We start from the raw sequence: 19,040 nt of genomic DNA, 5'->3' as shown, positions 1-19,040 counted from the left end.
TAGCTTGCTGCAGCCTTGAACTCCTAGGCTCATGTGATCCTCCCGCCTCAGCTTCCTGAGCAGCTGGGACCACAGGTATGTGCCACCACACCTGTTGTTTTGTAGAACTAATTGTTGTGTTTTTTGTAGAGACAGGGGCCTCCCTATGTTGCCTAAGCTGAGCCAAATTCATGAGCTCAAGTGATCCACCCACCTCGGCCTCCCAAAGTGCTGGGATTACAGGTTTGAGCCACTGCACTCAGCTGATCATCTGTTCTTCACAAGCCTTATTGGAGGCACTGTTGCTTCTGAACTCCAGCCCTGTGGCTGGAATAATTACCCTTGTTTCCATTCGTCCCCGAGTTTTCAAATATTTACTGTACCTTAACTCACTGCTTTAATTTGTCACATATAGTCTCTAACCCATCCAGTTATCACTTGTTGTGTCTTCTTGAAGCTTACCCTGTTCTCAGTTGACCCATTACTTGTCAACAGCCCCCGGATCTTGAGTTTTGGCTCTCTGTGAATACCAGCTTTTGTTCCCTGGCTCTACTCTTCTAGTGTCTCTCCAGTTTAGGACACTTGTCTAATTTCATGGCCATCCCTGTTTGAGTCAGTGAACCTACATATGAAGAAATATTTTAGTTCACTAATAATCACAAAAATGCAAATAAAACAATTTTGACTTTTTTTCATGTATAAGATTATCAAATATTTAAAAGGCTGACAAAATCTTTGAAAAATGGCACTACTCTGTTTTCTCACACTGTTGGTGTGGTTAAATTGATATGATCTTTCTGGAGAAGAGTTTTTCAACATATTTATCATCATGTAAATTATCTAGCAATTGAATTTCCAGTTATTTATACTAACAAGTTATTTTTGCAGGTGTGAAATGATTTATAAATAAGGATATTCATTGTAATAAAATAGGAAAATTGGGAAGATAAACTAAGTGTCCATCAATTAATAAGTAAATTAGGGAATAAAGATACAATTTTATGGAAACATTAAGATGAGGAATACATTTATATTTATGTACATGAAAATATGTTTATGGTATCACTAAATGAAAAAATCAAGTTACAGAAAATCATGCATACTATATATAGCATAAAATTATAAACATATATTTATAAGTATATATTTATGCATCAAAAGATATTTGAAAGGTTATTTATCAAAGTGCTCCTATAAAAAAAATACCATTTGGGGCCTGGCACAGTGGCTCACACATATAATCTTTGCACTGTGGGAGGCCAGTGTGGACAGACTGCTTGAGGCCAAGAGTCAGAGACCACCCTGGTCAACATAACGTGACCTAATCTCTACAAAAACTTAAAAACAAAATAGCCAAGCATAGTGGTGGCATGACAATATTCCTAGCAACTTGGAGGTTGAAGTGGAAGGATCGCTTGAGCCCAGGAGTTTGAGGCTGCAGTGAACTTCGATTACACCATTGCACTCCAGTCTCGGTGACAGAGCAAGACCCTGTCTCTTTAAAAAAAAAAAAAAAGGTACTATTTGAAGCAAAGATTTGGATAACATAATATAAAAAGTATTAGAAAAAATATAGGTGTACACATGTAAAAGTATTCTTATGCCTTATAAGACTAAACAACTAAAATCATACAGGGATAGATCAAATACATAAACCTTTGAAATTTCTGTATGGGATAAATGTCATAAACAACATTGAAAGGCAAATGTAAAACTAGGAAGCTTTTTTTCTTAGAGACAGGATCTCACTCTATCACCCAGGCTGGAGTGCAGTGGTACAATCACAGCTTACTGTAGCCTTGACCTCCCCGGCCCAAGCAATCCTCCCACCTCAGCCTCCCAAGCAGCTGGGACTACACTTGGGCACCACCGTGCCAGGCTCTTGCTTATTTATTTTTATTTCTCCTTTACTTTATCAGCTTCACTAGAATGGAAGCTTTAAGAAAGCAGGGACCTGGTCTGTTCTACTTCCACAGTCTAGAATAGTACCTGTCAAAGAGTAGATACTTGATAAATATTTATTGAATAAATAGACAATGAGAGATAAGAGCTAAATATCTTGCATCTCTGGTTTTTCCAGAAATAACTTTTTAGCTTTTATATCTCCCCCAATTTCACTGCTTCCTTCCACTTTCCTCCCTTCTCCATTTCTTCCTCTTCTACTTTCGCGGAAAAAAAAAATTAAATCTTTCCTCCCTTCTCCATTTCTTCCTCTTCTACTTTCGTGGGAAAAAAAATTAAATCCAATTAATTGGGAATGGTTCCAGCTGGAATGCAGAAGGAAATGCATGCAGGTGACATCCAGGATGACTTCTACCCCTTTACATCTACATTTGCCTTTTATTTAATTAGGAAAAAATTCAAATTCTGCAGAAAGAGAACAAAAGTTGAGAGTCAGGAAAAGGCCAAAGATTAAAAATTATATAAGGTATAGTATAATGCAGGTTTATGTTTATTGGAGAGATCATTTCCTTAAAATAGGATTGATAAACATTCATCCAAAAAAGTCATTCGCTTATTGCACAGTTAAATAAACAAATGCTTATTATAGAAATGTAATTACGTTTTCAAAAGAAGCAAGAGTTCTGAATTTATTGACTTTTTCTGAGTCAATCTTGGCAAAGAGTATTCAAAACAAATTAGAAATTTCTGTACTTTGTCCAGCAAAAGCTTGGAAATGGCCTTGGCTTAGAATACAGGTGAGCAAACAGGTATTCTTTGGGTAAGCCCCAGCCCATACAGTTGTTTTGCCAAAAATTCAAATTGGAAATTGTTCTGAAAAATCATTTTCCATCTACATTGCCAATAGCAACAATCAGCTGGGGCTCATTAGGTACTAACAGTTGCTGAGCTTTAACATCTGACCCAATCTCAATAATCTGTATTTTGCTGACCCCTAGCTTCCTTTCCTTGTTTACATCACTTGCTTGGTCTCTGTAAATTTTCAAGTTTGAAGTAGCTATCTTAAAGCAGAAATCAAAATGTATTAATTTAATACCATACTGAAGTCAGGCCGCTATTTGGCCCATACACAGTGGTGCAGGAGCATCTCTTGTTTAAGCTCAATGATCATTCTGATTGGTCAGCACCATATTGTACTGGTTGTTAAATATTTTGAATTTTTTTTAATACTTTATTTTTTAGAGGAGTTTCAGGTTTGCAGCAAAATTGAGATGAAGTTACAGAGATTTTCCATATGTGCCTGGCATTATATATCCCATGCCCCCACGCATGCACAGCCTCTCCCATTATCAACATCCCCCACAAGAGTGGTACATGTTTTACAATTGGTGAACCTACATTGATATTATTATCACCCTGTCAATAGTTTACATTAGGGTTCACTATTGGAGTTGTGCATTCTATGAGCTTGAACAAATGTATAACGACACCGGGTTGGTGGCTCATGCCTGCAATCCCAGCACTTTGGGAGGCTGAGGTGGGTGGCTCACCTGAGATCAGGAGTTCGAGACCAGCCTGGCCAACACGGTAAAACCCTGTCTCTACTAAAAATACAAAAAATTCACCAGGCATGGTGGCACATGCCTTAATTCCAGCTACTAGGAGGCTGAGGAAGGAGAATCACTTGAACCCAGGAGGCGGAGGTTGCAGTGAGCTGAGATGGCGCCACTGCACTCCAGCCTGGGCAACAAGAGTGAAACTTCATCTCAAAAAAAAAAAAAAAAAAGAATACAAAAATTAGCTGGGTATGGTGGCACATGCCTGTCGTCCCAGCTATTCAGGAGGCTGAGGTGGGAGAATTGCTTGAGGCTGGGAGGTCAAGGCTGCAGTGAGCCAAGATCGTACCACTGCACTCCAACCTGGGTGACAGGGCAATAACCTGTCTTTAAAAAAATGGTGGAATGACATGTATCCATCATGATAGTATCATACAAATTATTTTCATTGCCCTACAAATCCTCTGTGCTTTGCTTATTCATCCCACTGCTTCTTCCCTAGCCCATAAATATAATTCTTGCCTAAAATTCTTCTAGTCATATTCTTAAGTTGACAGTTGTTTGAATTTGTATTATGGATATTCAAATAAATAAAAAACTTTATTATATAATGAAGGTGAAGAAATTAGACCAATAAGTAAAGAATTTAAACCATGTTAGATTTAGCCTAAAACAAAGTAAGCTGTGGATGAGTAGAAATGTTTATCAATTAGAAGAAAATATCCTACAGCATTCTTTAGTAATTATTTAGGTTAATCCTGTTTACAAAGTACTAAAAGTATTATGGTTTAGGGTAAAATTCAGTCTTGAAATTATATATTTAACTACCTATTTAACAACTCCAATGAAATATCCTCAAAGCATCTCAAATATGACCACAAAATATTTGCAGTGACACACAGTAGATTCACCTTGGCTGGGTTTCATTATTATGGTAAAACTCTTTTCATAATCAATAAATGTGTACCTTTGTCCCATGTCTTCACTAAATGAGTTGACAAATGAGTTATAGCCCATGTCTTTGCTGAATTAGTTGATTCTGAAGACACAGGTATTCTCAGCACTGTGAGTGGGATTCACTATGATCACAGAAAAGCCTTTAGAGCAAATCCCATAAAACAGATTTCAAATAAAATCACACAAAAGAACTTTAAGCCCTCCCCTTCCATTTTGTCTCACTTCTTTGGCAGCCACAGCTGCCCTAAGATGTTTGGGTAATCTGCTTTTTTACAAAGTGGGACTGGTGATGAGTGACCCCGAAAGTGGTATTTGTGGCTGCTGGTGTCTTAGACCTCTGCCTGTTTACTGCCTGGTCTTCAGTGGAAATCTGAACTCTCTTTTTCCTGTTGCTCTGTCTTGGAAAAGGATGTAAACAATGATTCAGTGTGAGTGTTTGGGGCTCATGGTAAATGGGTGGAATAATTGAATCATGGAACATTATAGGTGGTAAGACCCTTTATATGTTGTTTAATCTGCTCTATTTATTTCACAATTGAGGAAATTGAGCCTCAGAAACATAAAGTGACTTGCTTATGAGATCTTATAGCCAGTGAATTACAGCGTCAGTTAAAGAACTTACCCTAGGCCGGGTGCAGTGGCTCACACCTGTAATCCCAGCACTTAGGGAGGCTGAGGTGGGAGGATCACTTGAGGTCAAGAGTTTGAGACCAGCCTGGCCAACATGGTGAAACCCCGTCTCTACTAAAAATAAAAAAAAAAAAATTACCAAGGCATGGTGGTGCATGCCTGTAATCCTAGCTACTAAGGAAGCAGAGGTGGGAGGATTGCTTGAACCCTGGAGGCAGAGGTTGCAGTGTGCCGAGATCACACCACTGCACACTCCAGCCTGGGTGACAGAGCAAGACTCCGTCTCAAAAAAAAAAAAAAAAAAAAAAGAACTTATCCTATCATTTCAGATGAGCATATTGGTAGCATTGCTACCGTGAATTGGGGAATCAGCATAAGGAAACTTTACAATGGCAAATATACCATATTTCAGGAAAGCTCTGTATTTCACTCTGAAACTTTGTGTGTCACCATCCTGCTAAGTAACTCGAAGGCATTTTCTAAATGACAGGATTCTCATTAATACCATATTCAACTTTAACATTGACAGTTAAGACTTTTGAAGAGATATAGAAGACATGTCAACATGGGCTGCGCACTGAGATACAGGGAGGAAAAGAGGAGGCTGATGGTTGGTTATGGTCAGCATGAGCTATGCAGAGGTATAGCCGACCAAGGAAACTCCTCATGCCCTTCTGTTGAATTCTTCATGTGCCTGGCATTATCTGTCACTCTGGCCTCTCTCCCAAGCTCCCAGCTCAGATCCTTCATTGCCTGTTGGACGTCTCTACGTAAACACATTAAAAAAACAAAGGCTAAGCAATTCTCAAAGAGTATCTATCATCATCCCTTCAAAATATATTTAACTACAAAATATACTTAACTACAAAATATTTGTACTTCAACTCCAACAAAGTGTCCCAAAAATGTCTCAGATATAACTTATACACTCTCATCTTCACCTTGGCCCTCCGGCTCCTCCTGCAAATCTCACTCATCTCAGAAAATGACAATACCAGCCTTTCAAGATTGCTTGAGCCCAACACGCAGAAGATATTCTTGATCCCTCATTTCCCCTCTACTTTCTGTCCTTCAGAAAGCACTGGTAAACCTAGCTCCAAATGTATCTCAAATTCACCCACTTCTCTCCTTTGCCAGCCCCACTTCAAGCCATACCACCTCACCTCTTACCGGTTGTACTGTAAAAGCTTCCTAAATGCTCTCTCTGCTTTCATTCAATTCTATGCCCCTGTCCACTTCATTCACAGACCAGCACCAAGAGTGATTTCTTCAAACACAAATTAGAGCAGATTATTTCTCTGCAACAAAATCCTTCCCTGGCTTCTCACTCTGCTTAGAATAAAGTCAATGTCAAACTATTTACCATGATCCTGAATTATGTTACCACCAACTCCCCAAACTTTTTTTTTTTTTTTTTTTTTTTTTTGAGACGGAGTCTCGCTCTGTCGCCCAGGCTGGAGTGCAGTGGCGGGATCTCGGCTCACTGCAAGCTCCGCCTCCCGGGTTCACGCCATTCTCCTGCCTCAGCCTCCCAAGTAGCTGGGACTACAGGCGCCCGCCACTACGCCCGGCTAATTTTTTGTATTTTTAGTAGAGACGGGGTTTCACCGTTTTAGCCGGGATGGTCTCGATCTCCTGACCTCGTGATCCGCCCGCCTCGGCCTCCCAAAGTGCTGGGATTACAGGCGTGAGCCACCGCGCCCGGCCCAACTCCCCAAACTTAATTCAAGCCTGGCTATTGTTTACTCCCCAACTTTTCATTTTCTCAGCATGCCAAGCTCATTCCAGTCCAGGACCTTTACACAGGCTGAGCCCTGTGCTTGGAACTATTTTTCCTGCCACTATTCCAATGGCTGGCTCCTTCTCATCTTCAGTGTTGGCTTAAATGGCACTTTCTCAGGAGACTTTCCTGACTACCCTTTTAAAAGTATGATGACCCATTACATCCTATCTCAGCAACATGTTTCCTTTGTAGCATCTGTGACCATCTGTAATTATTTTATTTATGGGTTTCTCATTTTATCTTTGTCTTGCTCACTAAATTGTAAGCCCCAGGAAGTTGAGGACCTTGACTATTTTGTTTATCTTTTTGTCTCTAACTCCTAGCATGGGACCTGGCATTTAGAAAGCACTCATTAAATATGTGTTGAATGGATGAATGAAGGAATACCTGCTTACTTCTCTGCACCCCACCCCCACCTCCACCCCAGGAGACTGCAAACTTTGTGTGGGTGGCAAATCTATCTTGTGATCAACACTTCCAACCCCAGAGCCTAGCACCGTCCCTGGCACACAGTAAATATTCCATAGATATTGCTGAATTAAAATAAAATATAGGAGACCAATTATGAGACTATGGCAAGAATCTAGACTGATGGTAATGGAGACTGAACTAGAAAGATGGAGGGGAGAGAAGAAAGCAGAGGGCACCACCACCACTTACTGCTGGGAAGACACTTGCATTGGTCTTGTCCATCCTAGGCACTATTTGGTGCTATGTTATTAAAGCACTCTGGGAAGACTCTGCTAATCTGATGGCCACCAAACCATGCTACTAGATGAAAACAGCAAGGTGAAGAAGTGTAGTAGATTGTGTTCCTATTCCTATAACGTAAAAGTTGTATTTATATATATGTATAGAAAATTTCAGTATACTCATGACCTGTTAATGATTGTTTCTCAAGGAAGAAGATGGAGACTGGAAGGGAAATCTACATTTTAATAAATATTCTCTCATGTTATTTAACTTTCTTTGCCATCAGCCATGTGTTACTTATTTTCAAAAAAAACATACTAATTTATTAAGTTAATAAATGTCCCTTTATGTATCCCCTTATGGATTATAGACTTCAATTCTTAGGAAGCTAGAGTAATTAACAGAGGGAAGCTAGTGTTATTCCCTCATGATGAATTAAAATAATAATTAACATTAGCATAGTACTTTTTCGTTTCCAAAGCACTTCCACATACATTATCTCATTACAACCTAGTGATGAATATATTAGTAGTAGTAGTAACCACATTTTATTTTATTTATTTTGAGACGGAGTTTTGCTCTTGTTGCCCAGGCAAATGGCACGATCTCGGCTCATTGCAACCTCCACCTCACAGGTTCAAGAGGCGCCCACCACCACGCCTGGCCAATTTTTTTTTTTTTTTTTTTTAGTAGAGACGGGGTTTCATCATGTTGGTCAGGCTGGTCTCAAACTCCTGACCTCAGGTGATCCACCCACCTCAGCCTCCCAAAGTGCTGGGATTACAAGTGTGAGCCACCGTGCCCAGCTGAGTAACCACATTTCATAAAGGAAGAAACACCTTCAAGGTAAACTCAAAATCATGGATTCAGGGCTTATGAGAGGTCTATGAACATCAGATGCTGGTCTTCTCTCTAAACCCAACTGCTCTTCTGTTCAACAAATCATTTCCAAAATGACAACTTTCTACCTTAACTTCAGATTATATACATATGTTATGTATATTATATAGACTATTGGAGTGTATGGTAATTATTGTAAACACGTTATTGGAGTGTTGGCTATCCCTTTAAAACTCTATTATTAAATTGCAGGTTTCTTGCATGCATTGAACATCTTGAATAAAGGTTATTCTATTTTTAATTTATGCTATCCTCTGTTTCATTAGAGAAAATATGAGTAATTTTAGACTCTTTTCCCCTCCAGTATGTATTGATCTGTTATCAACTTTTGATTTTATCAGCAGGAACTTTCTGTGAGCTGAGGTGCGTGATCCTGATATTGATCCCAGACAATTGCTACGTCTGGTGAGTTTTACCACAGCCCTGCTAGTATCAGAGTAGCAATAATGAACTCTGGACAGATTGAATTTCAATCCTAATATATAAAATGGAGGTAGGGTGTTCCAGAGTTCTCCTCTCTTATGTTAGTCTAAGTACCTGACAGAGCTTTTTGATAAACTGGATAGATACACCCCTGCCACAACAAATAGGAAAGGGCCTTCTTCCTTCCCTCCTCACCAAAGGTTCTCAGTCCCGTATGCACATTAAAATCACCTAAAGAGGTTTCTAAAAAAATATCGATGCCTGGGCCCAACCCGCAGAGATTTTTTCAGTCAAATTGTCTGAGCTGGCACCTGGATATTGATATTTTTTCAGACTCTGCAGGCGATGCAATATTAATAAATTCAAACTGTTTGGAGCTGCATTAGGCAACCAACTTCTTTCGGGTCTACAGGACGCAGTTATTCCCCAAAGCAAACATTACCCCCTCCTCCCTTATCAAAGTACTTTCATGGCCCTCAGTGGTCTTGGCCAGCGCCATCTCTCCCACGCTCGGTGATGCTGAACTCTGGGCCTCCAGCTGAGAACTTGCTCAGACATTTGAGCCAATTCCAGAGATCCTCTTTATAAAACACCAGCCTTGCCTCTGGCTTCCTGTTGTGCCCTCTGTATGATGTGAGAAGACTCCAGATCTAGGCAAGAATTCAGGTCTCTATATTTCACAACAAGGTAAAAACTTTACCCACTGGCATGCCTGGAATTTAAACCAGATGAGTCTATTTTCAATTAATAACAGAATTTCTACATTTCAGGACCTGCTAAGCAATACAGCCTGGAACTCTCTGCTCTTCAGTGCCAAATAAAATCCGATTGAAATCATAATCAAATTTCAAGGTCCACGAGAATCATCCTCTTGGCTCAATTCCATATGCTCCATCCCTCTGCATGGAGCTAGCCAGACAGTGCCACACCTGTGCTAGTACTTTAGATTCTATTTTTATGTCACCACAATGGTAACCTTTAGTATTATGGCTTTGGATTTTTATGGCGAGTTAGTAAAAGGAGTAGTCACAGAAATACCAGCCCTCCAATTTTAAGTAAAACTATATTTGAAATCAATAGCTTGTCTTTTGCTCAGTGGACAGTATCAACCATTTTGCTCATTTTATTCAATGAGCAGTCATTTACTAAACACTTCCTTTGGATAGATAGGTGCTGGCCATACATAGATAAATCAGATACGTATCTATGTTTCCAAGAATTCACAGATAGTGAAGAAAACTGATAGAAATAGTCACAACACAGTGAGCCGGGTGCAATAAAAGGGTTTAGCACAAAGTGCACAGATAAGGACCCAGTGCCAACTTGAGGCAGGTAGTTGGAGAAGGCTGCTGGAAAAAGTAAAAGGGGTTAGACAGGAGGACATGGCTTCTCTATGAGGAAGGTTCACATTTACATTTTAGCAAGGTCATTCTGGAAGCAGTAAAAAGGTGGATTTACTGAACAAACGCATGGATAGCGCTTGCCATTACCGAAGCACTGTTCTAAGTGCCTACGTATAGTAAATCACTTGATCCCCGAACAACTCTTTGAGGTAGGAATATTATCCCCAATTTACACATGACGAAACAGGCACACTAAGATTGTGCAACTTGATTGAGGTTGTATGGTAGTTAAGGAGCAAAGCCAAGATTTAGAGGCAGTTGGTTTGGCTCCAGGGTCCATGCACTTTGTCATTATATTATACTGCCTCAGGGAGAGCGGCAGAGAGAGTCAGAGAGGAGAGGCAGGTGGATCAGTTGTAAAACTTATGTAATAGTCCAGGAGAGATGTATATGCTTTATTTAGGAGGTGAAAACAATGAGAAAATCGACTGACACTCACTCCTGACTTCTAGCTTGGAGAGGTAGATAAATTACTAAGCTTTTAACTGAATTTAGGAGTGCTTAGAGGTAGACGTTTCAGACATGTAGACCAAAAGGAAGAAGAAAAGAGAAATAACATTTATAAAGCAACATTATGTTCTAGGCCTTCTACATAGTTATCTTGTTAAATTCTTAAAACTCTAAGAGGTAGGTATTAAGTATGAGGAAATTGAGATTCAGAGAGGTTATGTAAGGTCACACAATACATTAGATGTTTGTTGGTTTGGGCTGCCTAGCATCCTAAGAGCACCCTGGTTTTCTCTGGGGGAATCCCATCCCTCCCATGCATGCAGTCTTGGTGGGAGCATAATTCCAGGTACCTGCTGCCAACAAGCATCAAGGAGCGGTGCCATTCCTCTTTATGGCTTTTATCATAGCCAAGGCATGGTGAGGCTGGCCAGAGCTGTTCTGGGCTGCTTGCAACTAAGAAATCCTAACTGAAGTACACAAGCAACAAAGCCAAAACTCAAACCCCAGCCCGTCTAATGCCCAGCTCATACTTTTCTACTCCACCATGCTGCTCCCGGGGTTTCTGCACTCAGAATATGTGTACATGGAGATTGTTCACAAAGGGCCAATATGAGAGCGTTTCTACAAACCATTCGGTGCTTATTCCAGGGTAAGTGAAAGATCTGTCAGGCAATTAAATAAAATCCAGTTTGTTGAGGTATAACTTGCGTACACACAATTTATCCTGTTTAGCCAACCAATTCTATGATTTTTAACACGAAACTGCCATCAGAAACAAAATATAGAAGGGTTCCATCATCCAAAAAAGTTCCCTTATGTCCCTTTATAGTCAGCCCTTAACATCCCAAACCCAGTTTCTGGTAACTACTGATCTATTTTTTATCCCTATGGTTTTGTCTTTTCCAGAATGCCATGTAGGTGGAACTTTACACTATGTAGTTGAGAGTCATGCATGTGGTTCCCTAATCATTCGTTCATTTATCGGGTAAATTTTACTGAATGTTAAATTTGTTAAGTTATCAGATAGTCAATAAATATGTATTAGGCTGGGTACTGCTCCAGGTATGGGGGGACAGGAGTGGGAACAGCAGGGACCGCAAGGATCTGAGTTCCTGCCTTCAATGAGCTCATGTTCTCATATTGGGCTGGTTTGTGGGTTGGGGGAAAACAAGCAAAAAACACATAAACAGGGCTTTAAAATAATTTAGTTTTAAGTCCTGCTAAGTGCCAGACGTGGCTCTAATAGGATAATGAGAGAGTGGTAGAAATGGGCAGAGAGGCCGGGTGCAGTGGGTCACGCCTGTAATCCCAGCACTTTGGGAGGCCGAGGTGGGCAGATCACGAGGTCAGGAGATCCGGACCATCCTGGCCAACACGGTGAAACCCCGTCTCTACTGAAAACACAAAAAATTAGCTGGGCGTGGTGGCGGGCGCCTGTAGTCCCAGCTACTCCAGAGCCTGAGGCAGGAGAATCACTTGAACCCGGGAGGCAGAGGTTGCAGTGAGCCGAGATTGCACCACCGCATTCCAGCCTGGGTGACAAGCAAGACTCCATCTCAACAAAAAAAAGAAGTGGGCAGAGAGTGCTGATTTATCTAGAGTGGTTTGTTGAGTGGATGTGAATTGAGACCCAGATAATGAGAGGGGGACAGCCGTGCAAAGATCTAGGCAAGAGGCACGCAGCAGAAGGAGGAACAAGTGCAAAGGCCCAGAGCAGGGCTGAGCTTGGTGCATTCGTTCAAGAGATAGAAAGCTGAAGGGACTGGAGTGCTGAGGACCAGGAAGCAAGTTGTGGGTCACTTGGGAGAGCCATGAAGGAGCCCAATCAGGCGGGTTTGGTAGGCCAAGACTGGAGGGTAAGTTTTTCTCTAGTTGTAAGAGGAAGCCTTGGAGAGTTTTAAACCAGAGAGTTATGTAACCTGATTTACACCTGGTAAAGATACCTCTGCCTGCTGCGTGTTGTATGGACTGTGCTTGACAGGGAGGAGAGTGGGATAAGACTGGAGGCAGGAGATGGGCCTGGAGGCTTCCTCAGTGTTGAAGGGGGAGCTGACGGTGACTTGAACCAGATTGTGGCACTGCAAATGGTGAGAAGTGTTGGAACTTACTACTTTCGTGGTGTGGTGGATAAAGAAAAAGAATCCCAAAAGCAGTTACATTTTAGTATTTATTTTAAAAGCTGACTTCAAAAATCTCATTGATGCAAATCTGGAGAAATACACAAAAGTTTAAAACTCTCTATAATACAAAGTAGGTTGGTGACTAATTTGCACAATGCAAGTAAACTAGTCTTGATACTCGAGGTCAAAAAGCCTAAACTTGGGGATTAATTTAGTTTTGCTGTATACACTGACGGAAATAATCCAGTAGCCTCCATAGCCCCCACTCCACTTTGTGTTATGAGGACAGCAGGCAGTCAGCACACATGCACTGACTCATATGATACCCACATTCAAAGAGCTTTAACGTGTTGGTTGGATTCCAAAGTAAAAAGAATAGAGACTCATTGCCATGGTTGTACCTGGTCAAGGTCACACCCCAGCCACACTTCTGAGCCATTTGGCTTAGAAATGGGAAACATTATAAAGTTGAGTCAGGAATATGGCAAACCTCCAACCAGAGTAAACTATTTAAAAAATTCACATTTTCTTGTGGCCTTCAGTTTTTTCTCCTTGACATCCTCTGTTCTATCAAGACATTAAGTCCCATGGCCCATGCAAAAGACACTTGGTGCTGTGTTCTGAGATTATCATTTTGATCTACATCTGACTACCATTTTTCCAGCCAAGACCAGCCTTCCTTGTAAATAAAGATCTGTTCAGAGGATATGAAAGAATACATATTCAAGGAGTGCTCTATTCCTTTAGCTGTTCAAAGGATTTGAGGACTTTGTTTGTTTTGAAACAAGTAACCGGCTTTCTCTAACCACGTAACCTCAACCTCACAGGACAGCCAGCAGGAAGTCAGAAATGAAGAACAGCCGATGACCTGGGTGCACTCTCTGGGTGCAGCCTGCTGTTGTCCTGTCCCCACCCTTGTCCTGTTTTTCACTTGTCTTGTTGTTTTTAAGAAAAATTTTTGTCTGCTCTGAGGATCTTCTGCTGATCTCAGGTTTTTCTTTCAGGTAATACATATGACAGGTGCTGGACAGAGCTGAACTGGAACAAGGGTCTGCAGCCATTCACAGAGGGCATGTCAATCTGTGTTCACTCAGGCAGGAGGCAGGAACATGCAGGATGGGAATGGGAAAGTAAACAGGAGTGGCCATGGACTCCTGGCCTCTTCTCTCCATGAGGTTTTCTCACCGAGAGCCTGCTCCAGGGAAGGTGGTTGGCCAAGGCCTGGGGAGCAGCTTTGTGAGGCCTAGGAAGACCCCAGAAGAGGACTTTGCTGAGAAGAGAGCAGACAAGAAGTCAGGAGTGGGGTGAGAGCAGCTTCTCCCTCTCCTTCGCACACTTGTACATAGGCATTCTCCCTCTATTTCCAGCTCCTGCACCCAAGCTATAAAAACAAGTATGGCCTACTGTAAGGCATTCCACAATAAAGACCTCATTCCTTCTGAAAACTTTTCACACTATAAGAAGCTTCTTCTGAAAGGCAAGCGCAGTCACTAGCAACTAACACTGTAGCCACTGCTATTCATCTTTCTAGGTATTAAATAACATCTATTTGAGGGCAAGAGCGGAACACAAGAGACATATCCAGAAGGAGAAAAGAGAGAGAAAATGAAAAGGGAATTAATTGGTGAAGTGGGATGTACCAATTTTTCCTCAGGGTTGCCTGTATTCAAAATACAAAAATACTCTGTGAGTATGAAAGTATTCAAAAATATTCGGTGAGCAATTTTCAGTGTACATTATTTATCAAATAAGCATTTTTTTCTGCACCTTGGCACATAATAGGTGCTCAATAAAAGTTATTGTTATTACTGGTATTAGTACTGTTGCTGTAATGCTATTACTGCATGCCATGTTAACATACTGTTCTGGGTTCTAGGGATAGAGAGGGGCAAAACCTAGTCTGTGTCCTCAAGAACTTACAGCCCAGAAGGGGGACAAGTGAGTTAGTGGCAGGTCCTGACACAGTGTTAATAAATGCTGTGATTAATGTCAGCATTAATAATATGACTAATGCTATTAATGTCAGCATAAACGCTGAGCCAGAATGGACCAGACTTTTATGGGAGTCTATAGGAGAAACACTGGCTAGGAGTGGGGCAGGGATGAGCACTGCTTTCCAAGAAAATAGTCACTGAGAGGAGTCTCAAAAGACAAATAGAAACTGGCCAGGTATATCAAAGGCTTTCTTTTTGTTAAGAAACAGGGTCTTGTTCTGCAGCCTCAAACTCCTGGGCTCAAGTGATCCTCCTGCCTCAGCCTCCCTAGTAGCTTTGACTACAGGCATGCACCATCATGCCCAGCTGTTTTTTGGTAGAGATGGGGTCTGCTATGTTGTCCAGGCTGATCTTGAATTCCTGGCCTCAAGGGATCCTTCCACCTTGGCCTTCCAAAGGTGCTGGGATTACAGGCATGAGCCACTGTGCCCAGCCAGTCAGAGTCTTCATTGCAAGTGACAGAAACAGACTGGCCATTTTAAGCAGAGAATGTATAGAGAGACTATCAGATGATCATACAATTTCTAGGAAACATGGAGAACAAGATTTGGGAAAGTGGTGCCAGTGAGGTGAGGATGCCATTGGTGGTGTGGCATCACAGACTGGCTGCTGGAAATCACATGCTGCTGCCCCCCTCACTCCTGCCAACCACCACGGCCAAAGGGAGTCTTCCTTGCCCTGCTTGTTTGTATCATTACTTCCAGATTCAATATTGCTAATAGGTGCAGCTGATGGACCAAGCCAAGGCTATCTCCCCACATCTTATCTGCCAAGGTAGCGGCAGATTGAGTGCTGGGTCTTTTCAACTTCTGTAAAGGAAGACAAGCACTGTCTCCCAACAAGGCTCACAAGTGAGGAATGTCCTCACACATTTGGAGAGGATCCAGAGGACATGAGTCAACACGTGCCAAAGACTCTCCACCACGTGAAGCAGGGAGGAAAGGGTCTAGTGGAGAGGGAACATGACCTGGGGGTGTTGGGGGTAAGACACAGCATAATGGAGGATGAGGACAATAACTCACTTTGACTGGAGCATGGATTATGAGAGGGAGATAACTGAAGAGGAAGCTGGAAAGGTAGAGAGTCTAGACCAAAGAAAAGCCTTGTATATTCTGTGCCTGACGAGGAGTTTGGTCTCTATTTTGTGAAAGAAGACATAGCGATTTATATTTAGGGCTTTGGAGGGGAATAGAGGTGGGGTAGGGGTTGGCAAGGAAGATCAGAGTTTCGAAATTTGAGACGTGCACTCACAAGTCTTCCCAGAGAACATCTTCTCTGTAGTTCTAGGTCAAGGACATTTATTTAGCTTTTGTCATCATCTTGCCAACCATGGCTTTCCATTCTGCCTTTTTGCATCATAAGTTAACTTCACCTTCCCCAGATTGCATCTATCACACAGGCTGATTTTGGGCTATGCATTGTTCTTGTATTTGAGGGATATGTAGACACAGGTGGAAACTGGCCAGGATTGCAAGAACTGGTTTGTTTAGAGCCAACACAAACACCCAGCTACATCTATATTTTCACAATAGTATGTACACTGCACTAAGACACAGAGGCAAATTGTGAAAAGCATATATCCTCTTGTGATCTTAATTCATTGGGAAAAAGTACAATATAGAGATGTCTGCAGGTGTCACAGAGTAAAGTGGAGGCGTAACAACAATCCAGTTAGTGGGGGGCTGTTGTTCTGATAGGAATTTGTAGGCTAGAATGGGAATTTAGTAGAAAACTAGTTTCCCATCTCCTGGAGAGTCAAAGCTGTCTCCTTTCAGGCCAGGAGAAAACACAAGGATGAATAACATCTGGGGAGGCGATGCTCTGGGTGAGGCACCAGGAGTTGGTGCAATCACAGACGTTGTCTGCAGCACTTGTGTGAAAAGGCAAAGAGGAAACCCATTTCCATCTTCATCAGGGGCAAAAGAAAGAAACTAATTCAGACTCAGTTCAACATGTCTTTCCAATTCACCATCTCTCCCCTACCTGCCCAATCACACCTGCCCACAGAATGAACCATTACAGCAATCTCTGTAAAATGACCTCCGGTCCCCTAGTTCAGGAAGAGGTGATGTTCGGGGGTACATGGTTGATGAGTGCAAGGGTAGGAACACCCCCAAACCCTAAGACATCTTCTCAGTGAGCCCCACCTCAGCTGCCTCTGCTTCCCAGGTCCTTCTCTGCGTTTGTTAACGTCTGGAATTCCTTGGTTGGAACAGATAACAGCATCTCAATAAGTGAGGGTGATTCTTGTACGGTTCTTGACAGCAAAGGATGCCAGACGTTTCGTGATTTTGAGTCTAGAAAACTCTATAATTTCTTTGTGAGGTCTCACAAAAGTTTAAAGTGAGAATGCTTTGGATAGCTATATCTGTATATGTTTCTATGCAGATTTAGAACTTATGAATTTTAAAGGATTTTTTAAAAATTTAAACTAGGATTTAAAAAGTGAGTAGAATCTTCCCTGCCTTAATAGCTTCAGTTCTGACAGAATTACCTTGTTAGCCAATGAATCTAGCTGAGATTTCAAAAAGTATTTTTTAGGCTGGGCGCAGTGGCTCATGCCTGTAATCCCAGCACTTTGGGAGGCCTAGGTGGGTGGATCACTTGAGCTCAGGAGTCCAAGACCAGCAAGATGGCAAAACCCCGTCTCTACAAAAAATACAAAAGTTAGCCGGGTGTAATGGCATGCATCTGTAATCCCAGCTACTCAGGAAGCTGAGATGGAACGATTGCTTGAGTCCAGGAGCAGGAGGTTGCAGTGGGCCGAGACCTGCCACTGCACTCCAGCCTGGGTAATAGAGTGAGACTCTGTCTCAAAAAAAAAAAGAAAAAAAAAAAAAAGAAAGAAAAAAAGAAAAGAAAAAGCATTTTTGGGGAGCTAGGGAGTAAATCACTTGGTTCCTTATGTAAACCACATTATTCATTAGATAAATATCAGATGTAGACTTAAATGTCCAAGGCTTCTTGAGGAGCACCTTGGAAAACCACCCATACGTGAATGGTGAAATGGGCATCTCTGTTCCTCATCATCCTGGGTGTGGGGTAGAGTGGGGCTTATGAAAATTTCAGCCCCAATGTCAAAACACAGTGCAATGATTTTGGGGAAAACATGGCTAACAGCGTATTTTCTCAACTCAGTCACAGTTTTGTAGATACAAGCACAGTCACATGAATATAACTCACGTTTCTTTTTTTTTTTTTTTTTCGGTTTCCTTACAGTAAGAGCCATACTCTTACCCTCTTACACTGGAGTATTCTGGCTGAGCTTGAGTGATGTGCTCTGGGTCAGTTTAGAGACCAAGATATTCCTGGCACTTCTCCACATTAGGCAATTTTTTAAATGTTTATTTTTTAATTATATGCTTTACCTTGAACACTTGAAGAAAGAAAATAATTACAATGATTTCAAAATGCAATCCCTAGACTTAATGAATATTCTTTATAATTATACCCAGTCAATATATAGAAATGCATAGAAATACTAAGTCAACTAACAAAATAAGTCAAAGAACTATGTAAACTATAAATCTTAGTGATGGGGAACATACACTCAAGTCACTTATTTATCTACTTTGGTAGAGACAGGGTCTCAATATATTGTCCAGACTGGTCCTGACCTCAAGCAATCCTTCTGCCTCGACCCCCCAAAGTGCTGGGATTATAGGCGTGAACCACCATTCCCGGCCCCACTTTGTTTTTTTAAAACATGATTCACCTGTGTTTCAATTCCATGCATTCATTGCAAGAGTTAAATGAGACTACTGAGTCTAACAATGTAAACCTGAGTCTCAACACTAATGTTCATAGCAGCATTATTCACAAAACCAAAAGGTAGGAACAACCCAGATGTCCATTAATGGAAAAATTAAATGTGGAATAAACATACAATGGAACATTATTCAGCCTTAAAAAGGAATCCAATTCTGACACATGCTACAACATGGTTGAACCTTGAAAACATTAGGCTAAATAAAATAAGCAAGACACAGAAGGACAAATTTGTATGATTCCACCTACCTTGAGTAGTCAAATTCACAGAGACAGAAAGTAGAATAGTGGTTGCCAGGAGCTGGGGAGAGGGAAGACTGGGGAGTTACCATTTAATGGGTGGTTTTTGTTTAGGATGATGGAAAAGTTCTGGAGACAGATAGTGGTTCACAATGATGTGAATGTATTTAATGCCACTGAAAATGTATAATCAATATATACTTAATGATTAAAATGGTAAATCTTTTTGTTGTTGCTGTTGT

At 41.3% G+C, this 19,040-nt stretch overlaps 1 long non-coding RNA gene across 1 annotated transcript; it reads left to right on the top strand.

The window, feature by feature from the left end:
* Window positions 1-35: 35 nt before the first annotated feature.
* On the top strand, window positions 36-14,438 carry LOC105375444 (uncharacterized). Its single transcript, XR_927850.3, has 3 exons — window positions 36-75; window positions 8,742-8,805; window positions 13,801-14,438. It is a non-coding gene; the product is annotated as an uncharacterized LOC105375444 (long non-coding RNA).
* The last annotated feature ends 4,602 nt before the right edge of the window (window positions 14,439-19,040 follow it).

This window comes from Homo sapiens, chromosome 7 (assembly GCF_000001405.40).
Source record: "Homo sapiens chromosome 7, GRCh38.p14 Primary Assembly".
Taxonomy (NCBI): Eukaryota; Metazoa; Chordata; class Mammalia; order Primates; family Hominidae; genus Homo; species Homo sapiens.
This window is presented reverse-complemented; position numbering and strand designations above follow the sequence as displayed.